Source organism: Homo sapiens, chromosome 4, assembly GCF_000001405.40.
Source record: "Homo sapiens chromosome 4, GRCh38.p14 Primary Assembly".
Classification (NCBI taxonomy): domain Eukaryota; kingdom Metazoa; phylum Chordata; class Mammalia; order Primates; family Hominidae; genus Homo; species Homo sapiens.
The window spans coordinates 3880640-3904409 of record NC_000004.12 but is presented as its reverse complement, the minus strand read 5'-3'; the positions used below and the strand labels follow the sequence as shown (position 1 = coordinate 3904409).

At 45.8% G+C, this 23770-nt stretch overlaps 2 pseudogenes, besides 1 other annotated feature; both read left to right on the top strand.

The window, feature by feature from the left end:
• OR7E162P (olfactory receptor family 7 subfamily E member 162 pseudogene) lies at positions 1870-2904 on the top strand (annotated as a pseudogene).
• OR7E163P (olfactory receptor family 7 subfamily E member 163 pseudogene) lies at positions 14245-21915 on the top strand (annotated as a pseudogene).
• Positions 23537-23596: a silencer, noted in NCBI's record as "silent region_15209". NCBI's record gives its function as "represses an Ori minimal core promoter by ATAC-STARR-seq in GM12878 lymphoblastoid cells {active_cell/tissue: GM12878}" and the evidence as "EXISTENCE:reporter gene assay evidence [ECO:0000049][PMID:35858748]".

The following is a 23770-nucleotide window of genomic DNA, read 5'->3' as shown; positions in this document are numbered from 1 at the left end:
GAGCTCTGCTTAAAACTTTTGGAAGCTGGGAGCGGTGGCTCATGCCTGTAATCCCAGCCCTTTGGGAGGCTGAGGCAGGCGAATCACAAGGTCAGGAATTCGAGACCAGCCTGGCCAACATGGTGAAACCACGTCTCTACTCAAAATAGAAAAAAATGAGCCAGGCGTAGTGGCGGGCGCCTGTCATCTCAGCTAATTGGCAGGCTGAGGCAGGAGAATAGCTTGAACCTGGGATGCAGAGGTTGCGGTGAGCCGAGATCACTCCATTGCACTCCAGCCTGGGCAACGGAACGAGACTCCATCTCAAAACAACAAAAACAAAAACAAAAACCAAAAAAACCCACAACTTTTTGAGAGTTGGAAGTCCAGGGAGTATAGTACCCGGGACTTCGAGTCTGGCCATGAATTTTGAATACCACCCTTTCTACTTCTCTGTATGGCAAGGGGTGAGATGTCCATCCTCTGAGACTCAGCACTCTCATCTGACTTGATTTCCAGTTGATCCGATGGAAGTGAGTGTTGATTAAGCTGATCGTGGGCGCCCGCTGCGTGATCTCTAGGTGACGGATACATAAAGTAAAGGCAAAGTGAATTTTAGATACATTCCTTAAGATTTTCAACTTCAACTCCACACAATTCAACGGAAATATCCCCTGACCTGAAGTTCTGGTTTCCCTGCATTCCAGACAGGACATTTTGTTTTGTCCTTCTCTCAGTAAGTACTGAGTACTGTGAGAGGAACAAGTGAGTCTCTTTGGTTTCTGATTCCCCAGAGCCTATATCTTGCTTGGCACATAGGAGACAGCAAAAGTCAAAATCTATGTTAATGGTTGAATTGACCCTTCCTTGCTTCATCAAAATTGGCTGTCATCAGCGTGACTTTGGCTTACTTGATTCTTTTTGGTTTTTGTTTTTTGAGACGGAGTTTTGCTCTCGTTGCCCAGGCTGGCGTGCAGTGGTGTGATTTCGGCTCACTGTAGTCTTTGCCTCCCAGGTTCAAGCCATTCTCCTGCCTCAGCCTCCCGAGTAGCTGGGACCACAGGCGCGCGCCGCCATACTGGGCGAAGTTTTTGTATTTTTAGTAGAGGCGGGGTTCCACCATGTTGGCCAGGATGGTCTTGATCTCCTGACCCCGTGATCCGCCCTCCTCAGCCTCCCAAAGTGCTGGGATTACAGGCATGAGCCACCGCATCCGGCCAAACTTTCTGATGAAAACTCTAAGTCCACCTAAGCTAAGGACAGGAGTTAGAGCTTCCATGAATTTTAAAACAAGACCCACTGATTTGAGTAAGCAATTACTCTCTTGAAGGAGAAAAGTCCGAAAACAGAATGATGAAATCACTAGGACCTATTCTCTGCTTATGAACTATCAACTTTCATTTCATTTCCAGATGGCATGGTCTCAGCTGTTATACAGCGTTTACAAATGTTCTAAATCAAGGGAATTTGTATCAATGTAGTAGAATAAATAAAATATTTGAGTTCTTAATTTCCTTTAATTAGGATAACCTTTTTCTTAAAGTGAAGACAATGGTTTTATTACATCTTGTTCTTCGGAAAAGATAGGCTGTATTTTCCAGCAATTACCAATTTGTTATATATGATGATCTGGTTCTTGGAACGTTCTTGAAGCTAGTGTCTCTAAGGCAGGTGTGTACAGCAAGACGTGAATAACACAGCAATCGATGTTGAAAGCATTATAAGGCAATTGAGCTTGTCAGAACTACAAAATATTGCTGAGTGTGGATTGCTCTGAAATCTGAAAACATTACTTGTGAATTGCTTATAACCAAAATGCAGACACAATGCTGGGTATTGGTTTACTTGTTTCCGATTTTTCAACCCTCTTTTCCAGGCAAAAGGTGTCCAAACTATAGAGACCCACAGAGTCTAACAGATGTCTCTATATTCCTCTTCCTCGAACTCTCAGAGGATCCAGAACTGCAGCCGGTCGTCACTGGGCTGTTCCTGTCCATGCGCCTGGTCACGGTGCTGGGGAACCTGCTCATCATCCTGGCCGTCAGCGCTGACTCCCACCTCCACACCCCCATGTACTTCTTCCTCTCCAAACTGCCCTTGCCTGACATCGGTTTCACCTCCACCACAGTCGCCAAGATGATTGTGGACATCCAGTCTCACAGCAGAGTCATCTCCTATGCAGGCTGCCTGACTCAGATGTCTCTCTTTGCCATTTTTGGAGGCATGGAAGAGAGACATGCTCCTGAGTGTGATGGCCTATGACCGGTTTGTAGCCATCTGTCACCCTCTATATCGTTCAGCCATCTTGAGCCCGTGATTCTGTGCCTTCCTAGATTTGTTGTCTTTGTTTTGTTTTGTTTTGTTTTGTTTTGTTTTGTTTTTCTCAGTCTTTTAGACTCCCAGCTGCACAACTTGATTGCCTTACAAATGACCTGCTTCAAAGATGTGGAAATTCCTAATTTCCTCTGGGAACCTTCTCAACTCCCCCATCTTGCATGTTGTGACACCTTCACCAGGAACATCAACATGTATTTCCCTGCTGCTGTATTTGGTTTTCTTCCCATCTCGGGGACCTTTTCTCTTACAATGGAGTAAAATTGTTTCCTCCATTCTGAGGGTTTCATCATCAGGTGGGAAGTATAAACCTTCTCCACCTGTGGGTCTCACCTGTCAGTTGTTTGCTGATTTTGTGGAACAGGCGTTGGAGGGTACCTCGGTTCAGATGTGTCATCTTCCCCGAGAAAGAGTGCAGTGGCCTCAGTGATGTACACGGTGGTCACCCCCATGCTGAACCCCTTCATCTACAGCCTGAGAAACAGGGATATGAAAAGTGTCCTGCGGCAGCCGCACGGCAGCACGGTCTAATCTCAAGACCTTCTTATCTGTTCCATTCCTTTTGTAGGGTGGGTTCAAAAAGGCAGCAAGGTCACATAAGAATGATATCACAGGGTGAACACCCACTGTGACATTACGAGAATACCTCCCTAGGATATAGAATATACTGTCACAGAGTACACACACATGGGGTACACCCACTGTGATATTAGAAGCAATATCTCCCTAAAGTAGGATGAAAAATATCACAGGGTGTGCACACTGTGTGATATGAGGAGTCATATTTACCCTGGATATCACGACTCATATCAAGGGTGTACACACACCGGGTACACGCACTGTGATATCAGGAGTTGCATCTCCCCAGGATATTACGAATAATATCACAGGGTATACACTATGTGTGAACATCCACTGTGATATTTGAAGTCATAACTCTCTATGAGATTACAAATAATATCAAAGTGTGTACACCCCTGTGACATATTAGGAGTAACATCCTTCTAGGGTATTGCAGATAACATCACAAGGTGCACACCTTCTGTGACCTTTTGTGCACACTTTGTGCCATTCAAGGGAACATCCCCCTAGGATATTATGAATAATGACACAGGCGGTTGACACACATGGTGTACATCTCCTGTGCCATCAGGAGTAATACTCCCCTAGGATATTACAAATAATATCACAGCAGGTGTACACATATGGTGTTCACCCCATGTGAACATTAGGAGGAACATGCTCCTAGGGTATTAGGAATAGTATCACAGGCGTTGAATATGCATGATATATGCCCCCAGTAACATTGAAAGTAACATCACCCTAGGATATTACGAATAACATCACAGGGAGTACACCCCGTGTGACATTAGGACTAACATCCCCCGAGGATATAACGAATAATATCAGGGGGCATACAGACATTGTGACCTTAGTGGTAACATCTCTTTAGGATATCACCAATCACATCACAGGGTGTCCAAAGACCGTCATATTAGGAGTCCCATTTTCCTAGGATATTATGGATAATACCACAGGAGGTGTTCACACACCCTGTGTACACCATGTGTGTACACCCAATGTTATATTTGAAGTCATATATCCATGGGATCTTACGAATATTATCAAAGGGTGTACACCCCATGTGACATTAAAAGAAACATCACTTTTGGATATTCCGAATGCTATCACAGGGTGTGATATTAGGAGTGTGATATTAGGAGTAACCTCTTCCTAGTATAACCCATGTGATATTAGGAGTAACCCCTTCCTAGGATATTACGAATAACATCACAGGGTTTACACCCCTGTGACTTTAAAAGCAACGCCCCCCTAGAATATTACAATAATATAACAGGGTGTACAACCCCTGTGACATTACGAGTAACATCTCCCTAGGATATTTCGAATGATGTCACTGGGGGCACACCCTCTGTGATATTAGCAGCAACATCTTTCTAGGAGATTACGAATGATATCACAAGGTGTACACTCACTCTGATATTAGAAGGAATATCTCCCTAGGGTATAAGCTATCACATCACAGAGTGTACACACATGGTGTACAGCCACTGTGTTATTAGAAGCAATATCTCCCTATGATATTATGAAAAATATCACAGGGTGTACCCTCTGTGGGATACTAGAAATAATGTTTACCATGGATATTACAAATAATATCACAGGATGTACACACATGGGGTACACCCACTGTGATATTAGGAGTTATATCTCCCTAAGATATTACATATAATATCCCAGTGGGTGTATCCCATGTGTGTACACCCACTGTGATCATTAAAGTAATAACTCTCTATAAGATTACAAATAATATCGAAGGCTGTACACCCCCTGTGACATTAGGAGTAACATCCCCCTATAATATTGGGAGCAATATCACACTGTGTACGCCCCTGTAACGTTAGGGGTAACATCCCCCCAGAATATTACTAATAATATCACAAGGCGTACACACATTGTGACATTAGAAGTAATATCCAGCTAGCATATTTCCAGTAATATCACAGAAGGAAGACACATGTGACATTACGAGTGACATCCCCCTAGAATAGTAAGAATGCTATCACAGGGTGTACACCTCCTGTGATATAAGGAGAATCATCTCACCAGAATATTACAAATAATGTCACAGGGTGTTATCTTCTGTGACATTAGGAGTATAGACCCCAGGGAAATTATGAATACTATCACAGGGGGTACACCCCTGTGACGTTAGGAGTAACATCCTTCTACAATATCATGAATAATATCATAATAATAATGACACCCCTGTGTCATTAACAGTGCAATTGCCCTAGGATATTATGAAATAGAACACAGGGACTACACGCCGTGTGTCATTAGAAGTCACATCCCCTGAGGATATAAGGAATAATATCGGAGAATGTACATGCATTGGGACATCAGTAGTCACATCTCTTTAGGATAATACGAGCAATATCAAAGGGTGTGCAAGCATTGCGAAATTAGTAGTGAACTCCCACTGGGATATTATGAATTTTCTGACAGGGTCTACACACCCTGTGACATTAGTAGTCACGTTTTCCTAGAATAAGACGAAGAATATTAAAGGGTGTACAGGACCTGTGATTTACGAGTAACATTTCTATAGAAGATTACACGGAATATCACTGTGTGTACACCCCGTGTGACGTTAGGAGTCACATCCCACAAAATTATAACGAATAATTTCACAGGGTGTGCAACATCTGTGACATTAAAAGTAACATTTCCCTAGAACATGACGATAACATCATACAGTGTACACCCTCGCTGATATGAGGAGTGGCATCTTATAAGGGTAATACGAGTAATATGAAAAGGTGTACAAACCCTGTGACATAAGGAGTGACATGCCTCCAGGATATTCCGAATCATACGAAAGGGAAAATACTCCGTGTGACAATAAAATCAACCTCCCCGTAGGACATGAAGAATAATAGCACAAGCTGTACACACATTGTGACCTTATTATTACCGTACCGCTAGGGCATTGCGAATAATATCAGAGTGTGTAGAGACATGTGAAATAAGGATTCACGTTTCGCAACAATACCACGAATAATATCACAGGGTGTATAACCCCTGGGACTTAAACAGTGACACCATCCTAGAATATGGAAAATAATGTCCCGGGGTGTTAACTAAGTGTGGCAGTAGAGAAAATATAATAGGAGAAAGGGAGTAATATCACCCCCTCTCGACATTGGATATTACGAGCCACAACGCAGGGGGGTGAGGGCGCCCCCCGCAATGCGGGGAGTAGTAGCACCCGCCTCTCCTCCCCGGATATTACGATCTAAATCGCAGGGGGGCGAGGCGCCCCCCGCGATGCGGGGAGTAAGAGCCAGCCCCTCTTGCCCCCCTGGCTCTTAGGATCCGCGCTGGACTCACCTCCTGTTTGTCATATTGTGAGTAATATCATCTCCCACTCTGGAGATTATGAACTGTTTCACAGACGGGTGTACACCCTTGGTGTACAGAGGTTGTACACCCGTCTTTATTGGGAGTCATATCATCCTCTTCCTCCTTGTATTTTAAGAACACTATCATAGGGGTCTTTCTACTCCCTGGGATATCGGGTGTCATGTCCTCCTCTCCCACGTTGCTTTTAGAAACAATATCAGTGGGGGCGTGTCCACCTTCTGTGATATTGAAAGTAATATCATCCTCTTCCCTTCAGAATCATGGGAATAATATCCTTGGGGGTGTCTACTTTCTGCCATATATGTAGTCATATCACCCCTTCCGCCTTGGAATATTTTTAAGGACCATCTCACACGGGGGTGTACACTTCCTGCGATGTTGGGAGTAATAGCATTCTCTTCTTCCTTGAATATTAGGAGCAAAATCACCGGGAGGATGCACACCCAGTGCTATATTGGGAGTAACGTCATACTCCACCCCCTGGAGATTATATTCGGATCTATATCACCGGCTGGGTGTACACCTACTGCGATATTAAACGTAATATCATACTCTCTCCCTCCCTGGACATGAGGAGCAATATCACAGGTGGGTGTGCACCCACTGAGGTATTAGGACGTAATATTAGTATGAATTATTCCTCATTTATTGTTAACATGAATATGAATAACCGATATTAATATCAATATTAACAAATAATTGCTAATAAAAAGTTTTCTGTTTATTAATATTAATATTATTAGGGGCTAATATTACTGTTTTCTAATGAATAAGATCAATATCAGTTATTAATGTCAGGCGTCTTTAATCATTAATATTAATCATTTATTGTGATCGTTAGTATAACTGTTTAATATTAATTATCATTATTATCGGTATTGATTTTAAAAATTATATTATGGGTTATTAATATTGATAATTATTAGTGTCAATTAATAATTGAGATTATTAATTGCGGTAAGTCGCATTGCGCCATTCCACCCCTCCCTCGGCAGCTCGTTTGCGACACAAAACGGGGACACAAATGCCCCTGAGAGAGCAGGGGTATACTGCGATAGATGAGGATGGTCACGTGGTGGAGAGGCGTGTTTTTGGGTACCAGCCCTTCACCTGCGTCGACCTTATCTACTGGAAAAACACTACACCACCCTCTACCGAAAAGCCACAAGCCCTACTTGATTTGCTCCAAACTGTTATCCAGACCCACAAGCCCACCTGGGCTGATTGGCACCAGTTGCTCATGTTCCTCTTTAACAGCGAAGACAGGCGGAGAGTCCTCCAAGCAGCAACTAAGTGGCTAGAGGAACATGCTCCAGCTGATTATCAAAACCCCCAAGAGTATGGAAGGACCCAGTCCCCAGGAACCGACCCCCATTTGGACCCACATGAAAGAGAGGATATGCACAGGCTAAACCGAGACAGGGAAGCTCTCTTGGAAGGATTCATGAGGGAAGCTCGGAAGGCCACAAACATTAACAAGCTCTCTGAGGTCATTCAGGGAAAAAAAGAAAGTCCAGCCCAATTCTACGAGAGACTGTGTGAGGCTTATCATATGTATACTCCCTTTGATCTCGATAGCCCTGAAATCAGCTCATGATTCCCATGGCTTTAGTCTGTCAAAGCGCAGAAGACATGAGAAGAAAACTGCAGAAACAGGCTGGGCTTGCAGGGATGAATCCATCCCAATTACTAGAAATAGCTAGCCAGGTGTTTGTAAACAGGGATGCAGTAAGCCCTAAGGAAAATGGCAAAGAGAATGGAGGACAGGCCCGGCGACAAGCCGCCCTGTTTGTCAGCTGCGGCAATCAGAGGGGTCCCCCCAAAGAGGCAAGGGAAGGGGGGCCATGGGAAGGAAACTCAGCTTGGCTGTCAGAGTTTGCAGCGTACCCAGTGTGCTTATTGTAAAGAAATAGGACAGTGGAAGAACAAATGCCCTGAGCTCAAAAGAAAACAAGGTGACTCAGAGCAGGAGGCCCCGGACAAGGAGGAAGGGGCCCTGCTCAACCTGGCAGAAGGGTTCTTGGACTGAGGGAGACCGGGCTCAAGCGTCCCCAAAGAGCCTCTGGTCAGAATGACAGTCGGGGGTGGAAACATTGACTTTCTTGTAGATAGCGGTGCTGAACATTCGCTAGTAAACGCCTCGGTCGCCCCCTTATCCAAAAAGACTATTGACGTCATCGGAGCCACGGGGGTTTCAGCAAAGCAAGCTTTCTGCTTGTCCCGGACTTGTCCTGTAGGAGGACATCAAGTCATTCATCAGTTTTGGTACATGCCTGACTGTCCCTTGACCTTTTTGGGAAGGGACTTGCTCAACAAGCTGAGAGCCACTATCTCTTTGACAGAGCATGGCTCTTTGCTACTCAAGTTACCCGGAACGGGAGTCATTATGACCCTTATGGTCCCCGAGAGGACGAATGGAGACTGTTGTGAACTAAGCCGGGCCAAGAGAGAAGACCAGCTCTGGCTAAGCGGTGGCCAAGAGTACGGGCAGAAGACAACCCTCCGGGATTGGCCAGTTAAGACTGGGGCCCAGCCGGTGAGGCAAAAACAGGACCCGGTCCCCACAGAAACCCTTCAAGGTATCCAGGTCCGTCTCAAGCACCTAAGAACTTTTGGAATTATTGTTCCTTGTCGGTCTCCATGGAACACTCCCCTCGTGCCTGTTCCCAAGCCACGGACAGAGGACTACCGGCCGGTACAGGATTTGCGCTTGCTTCATCAAGCTACACTGACTTTCCATCCAACACTACCTAACCCGTCCACATTGCTGGGGTTGCTGCCAGCTGAGGACAGCGGGTTCACCTGCTTGGACCTGAAAGATGCTTTCTTTCCTCTCAGAGTAGCCCCTGAGAGGCAGAAGCTGTTTGTCTTTCAGTGGGAAGATCCGGAGTCATGTATCACTACTCAGTACACTTGGACCAAGCTTCCCCAAGGGTTCAACTACTCCCCCACCATCTTCGGGGAGGCGTTGGCTCGAGACCTCCAGAAGTTTCCCAGCAGAGACCTAGGCTGCGTGTTGCTCCAGTAGGTTGATGACCTTCTGCTGGGACACCCCACGGCAGTCGGGTGTGCCAAGGGAACAGATGCCCTACACCGGCACCTGGAGGACTGTGGGTAGAAGATGTCCACGAAGAAAGCCCAGATCTGCCCACAGCAGGTACGTTACTTGGGATTTACTATCGGACAGGGGTCGGAACGCAGCCCGGGATCGGAAAGAAAGCAGGTCATTTGCAATCTAGCAGAGCCTAAGAGCAGAAGGCAGGTGAGAGAATTCTTAGGAGCTGTGGGGTTTTGTAGACTGCAGATCCCAAACTTTGCAGTATTAGCCAAGACTTTGTATGAGGTCACAAAGGAGGCGGGGACTGGGAACCTTTGGAATGCAGATCCCAACAACAGCAAGTCTTTCATGAGTTAAAGGAAAAACTTCTGCAGCCCCAGCCCTGGGGCTATCCGATCTGACAAAGCCTTTTCCATTGTATGCATCAGAGAGAGAAAAGATGGCAGCTGGACTTTGAACCCAAACTGTGGGGCCCTGGCCGAGGCCGGTGGCCTACCTCTCTAAACAACTAGATGGGGTTTCTGAAGGATGGTCCCCCTGTTTGACGGCCTTGGCAGCAACTGCCCTGATAGTACAAGAAGCAAATAAGCTGACTCTTGGGCAAAACCTGAGCATGAAGGCCTCCCGTGCTGTGGTGACTTTAATGAATACTAAAGGACATCATTGGCTAACGAATGCCAGACTCACCAAGGACCCAACTTTGCTCTGTGAAAATCCCCGTATAACCATTGAAGTTTGTAACACCCTACACCCCGCCACCTTGCTCCGAGTATCAGAGAGCCGTGTCGAGCCTGACGGTGTAGAATTGTTGGACTCCATTGACTCTAGCAGACCTGACCTCCGGCGCCAGCCTTGGGCATCATAGACTGGGAACTATACGTGGATGGGAGCAGCTTCTTCAACCCCCAAGGAGAGAGAGGTGCAGGGTATGCAGTGACAACCCTGGACACTGTTGTTGAAGCCAGATCATTGCCCCAGGCCACTTCAGCCCAGAAAGCTGACCTCATTGCTTTCATTCGGGCCTTAGAACTCAGTGAGGGTGAGACTGTCAACATTTACACTGATTCTCGGTATGTCTTTTGAACCCTTCAAGTGCATGGAGTGTGATAGAAAGAAAAGGGCCTATTGAACTCTGGGGAAAAAGACAGAAAATATCAACAAGAAATCTTGCAATGATTAGAAGCAGTGTGGAAACCCCACAAGGTGGCAGTTATGCATTGCAGGGGACACCAGCGAGCTTCCACCTTGCTGGGTTTGGGGAATTCCCGCGCTGGCTCAGAGGCTCGAAAAGCAGCATCTGCCCCCTTCTGGGCATCAGTGCTCCCTCAAGCACCTGATCTCGGACCTACTTCTTCTAAAGAAGAGAAGGACTTTCTCCAGGTAGAGGGAAGGACAAGTGATGGAGGAAGGATGGATTCGGTTACCAGATGGGACAGTAGCTGCGCCACAGCTGCTAGGAGCTGCAGTTGTACTGGCTGTGCAAGAAACCACCCATCGAGGTCAGGAGTCACTGGAAAAGTTGTTAGGCTGGTATTTGTACATCTCGCCTTTGTCAGCCCTTGCCAAAACGGTGAGGCAGCGGTGTGTTACCTGCCGACAGCATGATGCGAGGCAAGGTCCAGCCATTCCGCCCGGCATACGAGCTTATGGAGCAGCCCCCTTTGAAGGTCTCCAGGTGGACTTCACAGAGATGCCAAAGTGTGGAGGTAACAAGCATGTACTAGTTCTTGGGCGCACCTACTCTGGGTGGGTGGAGGTCTGGGTCTTCGTCCCCAAACCTGGATGTTAGCAACGAGATCACAGAGGGGGTGTACACACCCTGCGACATGGGAAGTAATATGATCCTCTCCCCACCTGGATACTGGGAAAGATACCACAGCGCGGGTATACATTTCCTACGCTTTTGAGAGTAATATCATTCTTTTCCTTTCTGGATATTAGGGAGAATATCACAGGGGTGCTGTACAATTACTTCGACATTGGGAATAACATCATCCTCTATTTTCCTGGATATTGGGCACAAAAACACAAAAGGGTGAACAATCCCTGCGATATTTGGAGTAATATTATCCTCTCCCCTCACGATTATTAAGAACAATATCGTAGGGGTGGGGGATGTACACCCCCTTTCATGTTTCATAACATCCTCTTTCCCCCTGGATATTAGGAACAATATCAGGAAGGGATGTACAGACCCTGCGACCTTTGCTGTCATATAATTGTCTCTCCCCTAGATACTGGGAAAAAATGTCCCTGGGGATGTGAACAGCCCTGCGATATTGAGAGTAGTATCATCCTCTCCCCCCTTGCATATTGGGAACAACATCACAGGTGGGGTGTACTGCCTCTGTGATATTGGGAGTGAAATTTTCCTCTCTTCCCCTGGACATGAGAAAGTGTATCAGAGGGGGAGGGTGTACATTCCCTGTGATATTCAACGTAACCTTATCCTCTCCCTCCCAGGGTATACAGAACAATATTACAGGAGGGGTGTACACCCTCTGCGATATTAAGAGTCATATCATCCTCTTTCGCTCTGGATATTAGGAACAATATCACAGGGTTGTGTACACCCCCTGCGATATTGGGAGTCATATCATCCTCTCTCCCTGTGGTTATTAGGAAGAGTATCACAGGGCTGTGGAAACCCCCTGCGATACTGGGAGTAATACCATCCTCTCTCCCTCTGAAAATAGGAAGATTTTCACAGGGGTGTGTTCACCGCCTGCGATTTTGGGAGTAAGATCATCCTCTCCACCCAGGAAATGACTAACAAGGTCATGGGGGGGTGTACTCCACCTGCGATATTGGGAGTAATGTCGTCCTCCCCAAACCTGGATGTTAGCAACGAGATCACAGAGGGGGTGTACACACCTTGTGACATTGGAAGTAATATGATCCTCTCCCCACCTGGATACTGGGAAAGATACCACAGCGCGGGTATACGTTTGCTACACTGTTGGGAGTAATATCATTCTTTTCCTTTCTGGATATTAGGAGAATATCACAGGGGTGCTGTACAATTACTTCGACATTGGGAGTAACATCATCCTCTATTTTCCTGGATATTGGGCACAAAAACACAAAAGGGTGTACAACCCCTGCGATATTGGGAGTAATAGCATACTCTCCTTCCCTGGATGTTAGAAAACAATATCATCAGGGCTGAACACCCCCCGCGATAATGGGAGTCATGTTTACTCTTTCACAGGCCATTTGGAACAATATCACAGGGAATGTTTACAAACAGGGGTGGTGTACACCCCCTGTGACATTGGGAGTAACATCATTCTCTCTACATCCGGATATTAAGAACAATATCCCGGCGGGAGGTGGTACACCCCCAGTGATATTGCGAATAATGTCATCCTCTCCTTCCCTGGATATTAGGAACAAAATCTCAGGGGGGTGTACACCTTCTGTGATATTGGAAGCAATATCATCCTCTCCCCCGCTGGATATTAGAAAAAAATATCACTCACGGTGTACCCCCACTGTGATATGAGGAGTAATATCTTCCTAGGGTATTACGAATAATTTCACAGTCTGTACACACATGGTGTATACTTACTGTGATATTAGGAGTAATATCTACCTAGTAGATAACAAATAACATCGCAGGGTGTACACCCACTTTGATATTAGCTGTAATATTTTTCTAAGTTGTTACAAATAAGATCACAGGGTGTACCAACATGGTGTACACTCACTGTGATATCAGGAGTCGTATCTCTGTAATATATTATGAATAATATCACAGGGTGTACACCCACTGTATTATTAGGAGTAATATCTCTGTAGGATATTACAATTAAGATCACAGGGTGTACAGCCACCGTGATATTAGGAGCAATATCTTCCTAGGATATTACAAATAATATCACAGGGTGTACGCCCACTCTGCTGTCAGGAGCAATATCTCCCTAGGATATCAAAAATCCTATCACAGGGTGTCCAATCTCTGCCTTCCACGTTCTAAGGGATTCTCCTGCTTCAGCCTCCCGAGTAGCTAGGGTTGCCCGCACCACACCCGGCTAATGTTTTTTTATTTTCACTGGAGACGGAGTTTCACCACATTGGCCAGGCTGGTCTGGAACTCCTAACCTCAGGTGATCCATCAACCTCGGCCGCCCAAAATGCTGGGATTACAGGTGTGAGCCATGGTGCTGGGCCAAGAGTTATAGATTCAATTCATTTGGAAACCCAGCTCCCATCTTTGAGCGTGCATGTACTTTTATGAAGAAATGATGTCAGAAAACCGAAGGATGATAATAAATACGAAAAGTAACAGGCATGTGAAAAGGTCTTCCGATTGAGAACTATAAGGTTCGATGTCGTTTTCAGATAATGGGGTCCTAGCTCTTGTGTTGTCCTTTTACATATTCTACATCAATGGAAGTTGTAGCACGGTGTCAGAATAAAGTAGAGTGTATTTCACGGCTTCTTAATTCCTTTCAATTAGACTGAGGTCTTTTTCTTAAAGAGAGAAAGACATTGTCATTGCATTGTATTTTTTCTGAAAAGAGTAGGCCATATTTTACTGAGATCACGGATTTGTTATATATGACGTTTTGGTCTTCTAATATTCTTCAGTGGATTTTCTCTAAAGTAGTATGTACAGAAAGCCTTGTATAGCAAAAAAGTAAATCACGTAATAATTCTGAGATTTTTGGAATTGTCACAACTGAGAAACATTGCTGGCGGTGTATGGTCCGCAAGTGTGAAGATGTTCCTTGTGAATTGCTTGCATCCAGCATTAAGGGCTGGTTTTTATCTTTTATTTTTCCAATACTCTTTCCTTCTCAAGGTGTTCAAGACACACAGAGCCACAGAATCTCACAGGTGTCTGAGAATTCCTCCTCCTGGGACTCTCAGAGGATCCAGAACTGCAGCCGGTCCTCGCTTTGCTGTCCCTGTCCCTGTCCATGTACCTGGTCACGGTGCTGAGGAACCTGCTCAGCATCCTGGCTGTCCGCTCTGACTCCCCCCTCCACACCCCCATGTACTTCTTCCTCTCCAACCTGTGCTGGGCTGACATCGGTTTCACCTCGGCCACGGTTCCCAAGATGATTGTGGAATGCAGTCGCATAGCAGAGTCATCTCTCATGCGGGCTGCCTGACGCAGATGTCTTTCTTGGTCCTTTTTGCATGTATAGAAGACATGTTCCTGACTGTGATGGCCTATGACTGCTTTGTAGCCATCTGTCACCCTCTGCACTACCCAGTCATCGTGAATCCTCACCTCTGTGTCTTCTTCGTTTTGGTGTCCTTTTTCCTTAGCCTGTTGGATTCCCAGCTGCATAGCTGGATTGTGTTACAATTCACCATCATCAAGAATGTGGAAGTCTCTAATTTTGTCTGTGACCCCTCTCAACTTCTCAAACTTGCCTGTTCTGACAGCGTCATCAATAGCATATTCATATATTTCGATAGTACTATGTTTGGTTTTCTTCCCATTTCAGGGATCCTTTGGTCTTACTATAAAATCATCCCCTACATTCTCAGGATTTCATCGTCAGATGGGAAGTATAAAGCCTTCGCCACCTGTGGCTCTCACCTGGCAGTTGTTTGCTGATTTTATGGAACAGGCATTGGCATGTACCTGACTTCAGCTGTGTCACCACCCCCCAGGAATGGTGTGGTGGCATCAGTGATGTACGCTGTGGTCACCCCCATGCTGAACCTTTTTATCTACAGCCTGAGAAACAGGGACATACAAAGTGCCCTGCGGAGGCTGCGCCCCAGAACAGTCAAATCTCATGATCTGTTCCATTCTTTTTCTTGTGTGGGTGAGAAAGGGCAACCGCATTAAATCTCTCCATCTGCAAATCCTGCCCCTTAGTCACATTATTTTTGTGGCTTGATGGCTTTTATTCCTTTCCGCATTTCCTTTGTGAATATTGCTTTCTTCGTTATGCCTTTCACTGGAATGGGTGAGGATTCTGGGATCCTTTGTTTAGCAGAAACCTCATGACAGAATCCTCTATACCTAGGCAACCTCTTTTAGTTTCTGAGCAATAACCCTGTTATCCAGCTGGAATCACAACCATCTTTTTATATACACGAAGTCCTCACTTCATTTTGGAATTCCCTGAAAACTGACTTTATGGAAACAATGTACAGGAGGTCCTCCAACACCATTGGTTGTTCAAAGTTGTGTAGTTACACTGTTGATGAAAAATAAGTGGTTTCACTATACATAATTTTGCTTCAAGGTGAAGTTTCCAAGAGACTTTCAAAGATGTTAAGTGAGGACATACTGTACATCAAATTCATATCCTCTTCCACAGTTCATGTGGAATTTCTTTATAAACTGCTTCTAGAGAATCTATTTAGGCAGGTTATGTGTAGAGATCCATGTCGCCATTCCTCAATCTTGGCTTTGAGTCCAATCACCTGGGGAGCTTACAAATGATGAGGCCTGGGTCTCAATACCTGAGATTCTGATTTCCTTGCACCTGTGTGAGTATATGGATTTTTTTTTTTTCTTTTAAAGCACCACAGGTGGTTCCAATGATGAAGTTTTTAGAGGCATCAAGCTCCAATGAGTAAGAACAGAAATTAATTGTAATATGATTTCTTCAAATATTATCTTCAAATGCATTGTCCATCAACACCATACAAATGTTTCTTATGCTGTTTTTTCTTACCATTTCGCATTTTCTATTTCTTTCTTTTCCTTTTTTTTGAGTCAAGAGTTTCACTCTTGTTGCCCAGGCTGGAGTTCAATGGCACGGTCTCGGCTCACTGCAACCTCTGCTTCCCGTATTCAAGCAATTCTGCTGTCTCAGCCTTCCAAGTAGCTGGGATTACAGGCATGCGCTACCATGCCTGGCTAATTTTTTTTTTTTTTTTTGTATTGTTAATAGAGACGGTGTTTCTCCATTTTGGTCAGGCTGGTCTTGAACTCCCGACCTCAGGTGATCCGCCCGCTTTCGCCTCCCAAAGTGCTGGGATTACAGGCATGAGCGACCGCGCCCAGCCACCACTAAGCATTTACATTTTACATTTGTTGAAGTTATAGATTTATACACACATTGATTGCTGCTTTGTTATACACTTGCATATACATAAGATGGGAAATAGAAAAGAACAAAATGGGCACAGTATCCCTGAAGTTTCACATTCCGAGACATTTTAAAAATATTTGCTCTTCAGAAATTTGTTTCAATGAAGAAACTGGGGTATACACACCCAGTGAAGTATTGTTCAGCCTAAAAAGGAAGAAACTCCTCTCTGCTGCAGACAAAATGGATGAGATTGCAGGTCTGTATATTAAATGAAATAAGCCAGGCACAGAATGACAAATATTTCATGTCCTCACTTCTATGTAGGAAGAAAAAAGGAAACCTTGGCCAGGTGTGGTGGCTCAGACCTGTAATCCCAGCACTCCGGGAGGCCGAGTCGCACGGATCACTTGAGTCCAGGAGTTCGAGACCCGCCTGGCCAACATGGTGAAACCCCGTCTCTACGGAAAACACAAACAATGAGCCGGGCGTGGTGACGCGTGCCTGTAGTTTCAGCTACTTGGAGGGCTGAGGCCCAAGAAGGGCTTGAACTCGGGAGGCAGAGCTTGCAGTGAGCCCGGATTGTGCCTGCGTACTCCAACCTGGGCAACAGAAAGAGACTCCATCACACACCTACACACAAAAGGAATCTCAGGAAGGTGGAAAGTATAAAGGTGGTTAGCAGACGCTAGGAAGACAAGGGGTGGGATAGGGAATGAAGACAAGTGGATAATTGGGTCCCAAAATAGAGAAAGATGGAATAAGTGAGTTCTAGTGTTTGATACTACAGTATGAAAATTTTAGTTCACAAGAATTGCTTGCATATTTCCAGATGCTTTGGTAAGAAGCTTCCTAACTTTCTCATTATGCTGGTTTTTAAGCTCTTCTCTTTCTGCTCTTGAAATCATGCTGGTTTTTTGTTTTTTGTTTTTTGTTTTGAGATGGAGTTTCACTCTTGTTGCCCAGGCTGGAGTGTCATGGTGAAATCTTGGCTCACCGCAACCTCTGCCTCCTGGGTTCAAGCGATTGTCCTGCCTCCACCTCCTGAGTAGCTGGGATTACAGGCATGCGCCAGCACACCCAGCTAATGTTGTATTTCTAGTAGAGACGGGGGTTTCTCCCTGTCGGTCAGGCTGGTCTTCAACTCCTGACCTCAGGTGATGCGCCCACCTCGGCCTCCCAAAGTGCTGGGATTACAGGTGTGAGTGACTGCGCCCGGCCCATGCTGTATCCTTATCTGTTGTCTGTTGTTGTTTGTTTGTTTTTGAGCCCAGAAATAACTTCTCACCTATATGTTCCAATGATTTTTCACATGAGTGCTAAGAAAGCTCATTGGTGGAAAAGCAGCCTTTTCAAGAAATGGTGTTGGAGAAACTTGATTTCCACATGCAGAAGAATGAAGGTGGACCCTATGTCACACCAGGTGCAAAAATTCACACAAACTGGATCAAAGACCTCACCCCAAGCGCTAAAAGTATCATACGCCTAAAAGAAAACATTGGCCACACTTTCGTGACATCAGATTGGGCAATGTTCTCTGGGATATGACACCAAAAGCATAGGCAACAAAAGAAAATTAGATTCCTTGGATTACATCTAAATGACAGACACTTTTGTGCAGCAAAAAAACACTGTGAACTGAGTGAAAAGATAACCCATGGATTAGGAAAAATATTTGCAGAGCATATATCTGAAAAGAGGCTGATATCCATCATATATAAAGAACAGCTAGAACTAAACACCAAGACACCCAAAGCATCCCATCAACAATGGTCAGAAGACTTGAGTAGACGTCTTCCTGAAGAAGATATAGCAATGGCCAATAAGCATCTAAAATGATATTCAAAATCAGTCATCATAGGGAAGCACAAATCAAACCAAGAATGTGATACCACATATTAGGATGCATATTATAAACAAACAGGCATTGGTGAGACCAGAGGGAAGTAGCAATGCTCGAATATGATCGGAGGGAATGTAAAACCATGAAGGAACGGGGAAAATAGTATGGCGTGTACTGGAAAAATTAGAAACAGAATGATCAGATGTTCCCGCAGTTGCATTTGTGGGTTCCTACCAAAAAGCATTAGAAGCTAGGAGTGGAAGACAGATTTGTGTACACCCATATTCATAGCAGCATTATTCACAACAGCTGAAATGTGGAAGCAACCCAAGGGTTCGTGGACAGATGAATGAAAAAGCACACTGCAGTTCCTTCATACAATGGAAGACTATTCAGCCTTCAAAAGGCAGGCACTACTGGCCAGTGCGGTGACTGACGCCTGTAATCGCAGCGTCTTGGAAGACCGAGGTGGGCGGATCACCTGAGGTCAGGAATTTAAGACCAGCCTGGCCATCTTGGTGAAACCCTCTCTCTACTGAAAATGCAAAAAATGACACGAGCGTGGTGGCTTGTGCCTATAGCCCCTACTACTCAGGAGGCTGAGGCACAAGAATGGCTGGAACCCGGGAGGTGGAGGTTGCAGTGAGCCCAGTTTGTGCCACTGCACTCCAGCCTGTGCGACAGAGTGAGACTCCATGGAAATACAAAACAAAACAAAGTCAAACGAACAAACAAACAAACAAAAAAAACAGAGAGGCACTTCTGATGCAGGCCGCAACATGGATGAACCTTGAAAACATCGTCAGTGAAATAAATAAATACAAAAGGATAAACACGCCCAGGCTCAGTGGCTCACCCCTGTAACCCCAGCACTTTGGGAGGCTGAGCCAGGTGGATCACTTCAGGTCTGGAGTTCGAGACCAGCCTGGCCAATATGGTCTCTATTAAAAATACAAAAATTATCTGGGCGTGGTGACGCACTCCTGTAATCCTAGCTACTCGGGAGACTGAGACACAAGAATCGCTTGAACCCACGATGCAGAGGTTGCAGTGAGCCTAGATCATGCCACTGCACTCCAGCCTGGGTGACAGAGAAAGACTCTGTCTCCAAAACAAAAAAATTAAACATGGTATGATTCCACTTATCTATCAAGTGTCTAGAGTAGTTAAACTCATAGAGTTGCAAACTAGAAAGGTGGCCCCCAGGGGTGGGCGAGAGAGAGGAGTGGAGAGCTTGGTGAAAGGGTGCAATTTCCATTTTGAAAGATAAAACTGTTCCAGAGACGATGGCGGTGATGGTTGCTAAACAATGTGAACGTACTTAATGTCATGAAACTGTAAACTGAAAAAGAGTGGAAACTGTAAATGTTTATAGTGGCCATTCTATATGAACTAATATATTTATAATTTTTAATATTTATACGTGGTATATTTTCCCATAATAAAAGATGAAAATTAAAGCAGTTGGATGTTTACAAAGAAAAGAAAGAAGCGAAGAATACACACCAGCTTTCTCCTGATTAGAGGAAGAGCCCCAAAGCTTCTATGGACACTCACTTTTCTCTTCTTCTTCTTGCATTATTATGAGGAAATCCTTAGAGGTTGGGGAACTTGGGTGACTTTGGCTAATAAGGAGCTCTGTGCCTTGAGCCCCCCAGGCCACAGAATAGTAAATAGTCTGTGCCTCCAGCCCTGCAGTGTGAGGTTCCAGTCCTGTGGGCTCCACTCCCGTCACCTATATCAGGAGCCTCATGTCTCACCCTGTCTTCTTGCCGGCCTCGAGGGCGGAGTCTGAGCATCCATGGTGCACCACACAGGGAGGACAGTGGACCTGTTCTCCGTGGTCATGGCCCAGCAGAGGGGAAGGGCAGTTCAGTGAGTGTAAGCAAAAGAGAGATCAGACTGTTACTGTGTCTATGTAGAAAGGAAAGACAGAAGAGACTCCATTTTGAGAAAGACCTGTACTTTCAACAATTGCTTTGCTGAGATGTTGTTAATGTGTAGCTTTACCCCAGCCACTTTGACCCAACCTGAAGCTCACAAAAACATGTGTTGTATGAAATCAAGGTTTAAGGGATCTAGGGCTGTGCAGGATGTGCCTTGTTAACAAGATGTTTCCAAGCAGTATACTTGGTAAAAGTCATCGCCATTCTCTAGTGTCAATAAACCAGGGGCACAATACACTGTGGAAAGCCACAGGGAGCCCTGCCCTTGAAAGCGGCGTATTGTCCAAGGTTTCTCCCCATGTGATAGTCTGAAATATGGTCTCATGGGATGAGAAAGACCTGACCATCCCCCAGCCCGACCCCCGTAAATGTTCTGTGCTGAGGTGGATTAGTCAAAGAGGAAAGCCTCTTGCAGTTGAGAGAGAGGAAGGCCACTGTCTCCTGCCTGCCCCTGGGAACTGAATGTCTCGGTATAAAACCCGATTGTACATTTGTTCAATTCTGAGATGGGGGAAAAACCGCCCTATGGTGGGAGGTGAGACATGTTTGCAGCAATGCTGCCTTGTTATTCTTTACTCCACTGAGATGTTTGGGTGGAGAGAAACATCAATCTGGCTTACGTACACGTCCAGTCATAGTACCTTCCCTTGAACTTCATTATGACATAGATTCTATTGCTCACATGTTCGTTGCTGACCTTCTCCTTATTATCACCCTGCCCTCCTACTACATTCTTTTTTGCTGAAATAATAAAAATAATAATCAATAAAAACTGAGGGAACTCAAGGCCGGTGCCGGTGCAGATCCTTGGTATGCTGAGTGCCGGTCCCCTAAGCCCACTGTTGTTTCTCCATACTTTGTCTCTGTGTCTTATTTCTTTTCTCAGTCTCTCATCCACCCGACTAGAAATACACACAGGGGTGGAGGGGAAGGCCACCCCTTCAAGTGAGTGCTGAGGGACGGTCGGGAGCCTTGTTTGTTTCCTCATCCTCAGGACAAACAGGAGAGTGCAGTGGGCAGATGTGAGGAGACCAATATGCAACCTCTGTGCTCAGCAGACTGTGGAGTTTCTGTTCTTGGTTGTGCTGGGGGTCTCAGAAATCTTATTCAAAATTTTGCTTTCCTCCCCCACTGGTTGTCCTTTTGATAGACACCTCCTCACCCATGATAGCAGGGAATCAGTCCCTCTAAACTATTCCCTAAGAACAACAAAGGGATTATGAAGGTGATGATGAGGATAAAGAGGATGACGACAGACACCATGGCATCGTGAACCCTTACTGAGGGCTTCCTAAAGGCCAGGCTCTGAGCTCTGTGCTCTATACAGCTGGTTTCATTTCATCTGCATAGTCTCCACGTTATTAGTGCACATTTCATGATGATTTTACAGACTAGAAAAGGCGCAACGGAGTTTCATGTAGCTTGTACCAGATCATGAAGTCAAAAAGGGTGAAGTCCAATTTGAACCAGGCAGTCTAAGTCCAGACACATGGCATTGGGCCAGTCGTCTCCCTGCATCCAACCTGCCCTCTCAAATCCTTGTCACTCAGGCCGATGCCCCTTCTCACTGTGCCCTTCCCTTTGGGGGTTCCTTGTAGACCACAGCTAGACCAGTGGGTGCCGCAATCACTGTGTCATGTATAGAAAGAGCAGCTGAGATCACATCGAGGATTCCAGAAACAATCGGCACAGGATCATTCGGGACACATCTCTCCCTTGCCCCTGTTCCTGGCTTGCCTTACAGCTCTCAACTTCCTCAAAGGAGTCATCAATTCGGAGTTTGGCTTCCATTCCTATTGAGGAAGCTGGAAAGTGTTTCAAAAATGCTCCTTCCATGTGCCTGTGGTTAAGACCTCTGAGCTCTGCTTAAAACTTTTTGAAGCTGGGCGCGGTGGCTCACGCGTGTAATCCCAGCCCTTTGGGAGGCTGAGGCAGGTGAATCACAAGGTCAGGAGTTCGAGACCAGCCTGACCAACATGGTGAAACCCTGTCTCTACTAAAAATACAAAAAAAAAAAAAATTAGCCAGGCATGGTGGCGTATGCCTGTAATCCCAGCTACTGGGGAGGCCGAGGCAGGAGACTCCTTTAAAGCCGGGAGACAGAGGTTGCAGTGAACCAAGATCATGCCACTGCACTCCAGCCTGGGCAACAGAGCAAGACTCTGTCTCAAAAAAATAAATACATAAAAATTACGAAAAAAAGTGCTTAGATGGGCTTGGCAAACTTTAGCCATTAGCTCACGTACCACTTTGGAAGGGCATACCTTCAGTCACTTCACCCTTTAATTCCTTTGCTCAAGACTAAAGTTCTGAGAGGAAGTCTAATCAGCTGAGTTGTGTCCATGTGGGCAGTGCAGGAAAGGGTGCAGCGGGAGGCGGCTCCAGGGACGTCTTTGGCTTCCATCATGGGGGAGCAGGCGCGTGGATTATCCACCCTAACAAATTTGGACAAAGGAAAACGAGGTTCTCTGAGGAAGGAGACATAGAGCCCAAGGAGCTAACCAAGAGACAAATAGTCATCCTGTCTTGTCATTTTCTTTTACACATGTGTGTACATTATCTTACACTTATCACTTTGTTTTCTTTCTCTCCTTTAATTGCAGCCTGCTGCCAAAAGTTAAAATAAAATGAACATATTGAGATAGCTCAGTAACTGACTTTTGGTCAATTGCCTTTTCATATAGTGAACAGCTGCCCAAACGATTGTCTCTGTCACTGTGCAAATTTGCAAGCGTTTGCATGATCACTCCCAATCCCCCAACACAGGGCTGTGTTACAGCACAATTTAGTTCAGTGTTTTGCTCTCTGCAACAGGGAGGTTCTCATCCATTGCAGGTTGCAGTAAAAACAGGGGTACCATAAGCAACCACCTCTTTCCTCAACGATGTGATGGAAGCAAACGCCAAGTAGCTCCATGTATCCAACTTAAAAATATAAAAAGTTACGCCCGTGGGCTGTGGTGCCATCTTTGGTTCAATGTAACACCAGGGGTGAGAAACAGACAACTTCTAGCCTCCAAGGAGACCCTGGGGCATGGCGGCAGACCCTCGCTGCACTGAAGGGTGTCCGGGGCTCCAGGACTCAGGCAGCCAGCGGTGCGGCCCCACCTCTCCACCGTCCGCCTCTGGGAGCCTCGGTTTCCTCAGCAGGGATCATGACACTTCATGGCTGCTCTCATGGAGGCGGAGGCTTTGTCATCGCCTCTTTGTGGATAAAGGAAATAAGGCCCAGAGACGTTGATTAACCACCCAAGGTCACACAGCCAGAATCTAAGCCCAGGTCTGTCCAAGGCCTATCCAGCTCTTTCTTCCAGGAAGGCCCTCCCTCTTCCTTCCCGTCTCCCCGTCACCCATCTCTTTCCTCCTCCTGTCCTCTTCTCACCTCTTCTTGCCTCCCCTCCCCTCTTTCCTCCCTTCTTCCCCTCTCCTCCCTCAATTTCTCCTTCCTTCCTCTCTCCTCCCCAAGCTCTCAGGTGAACGTGCGTCCCACCTCTTATGGCGAATGGACAGCAGGTGGCAGCAAACCCCGCCTTCCTGCGCGGGAGCCGGCCTCAGCCCGTGAAACGATGAGAACTGGGCTGCAGAGCCTGAGCTGGGCGGGCGTGAGTTTGCAGATCTGCAGGAGGAACCCGGTGCAGGCGCCTCTGGCAGGGGTG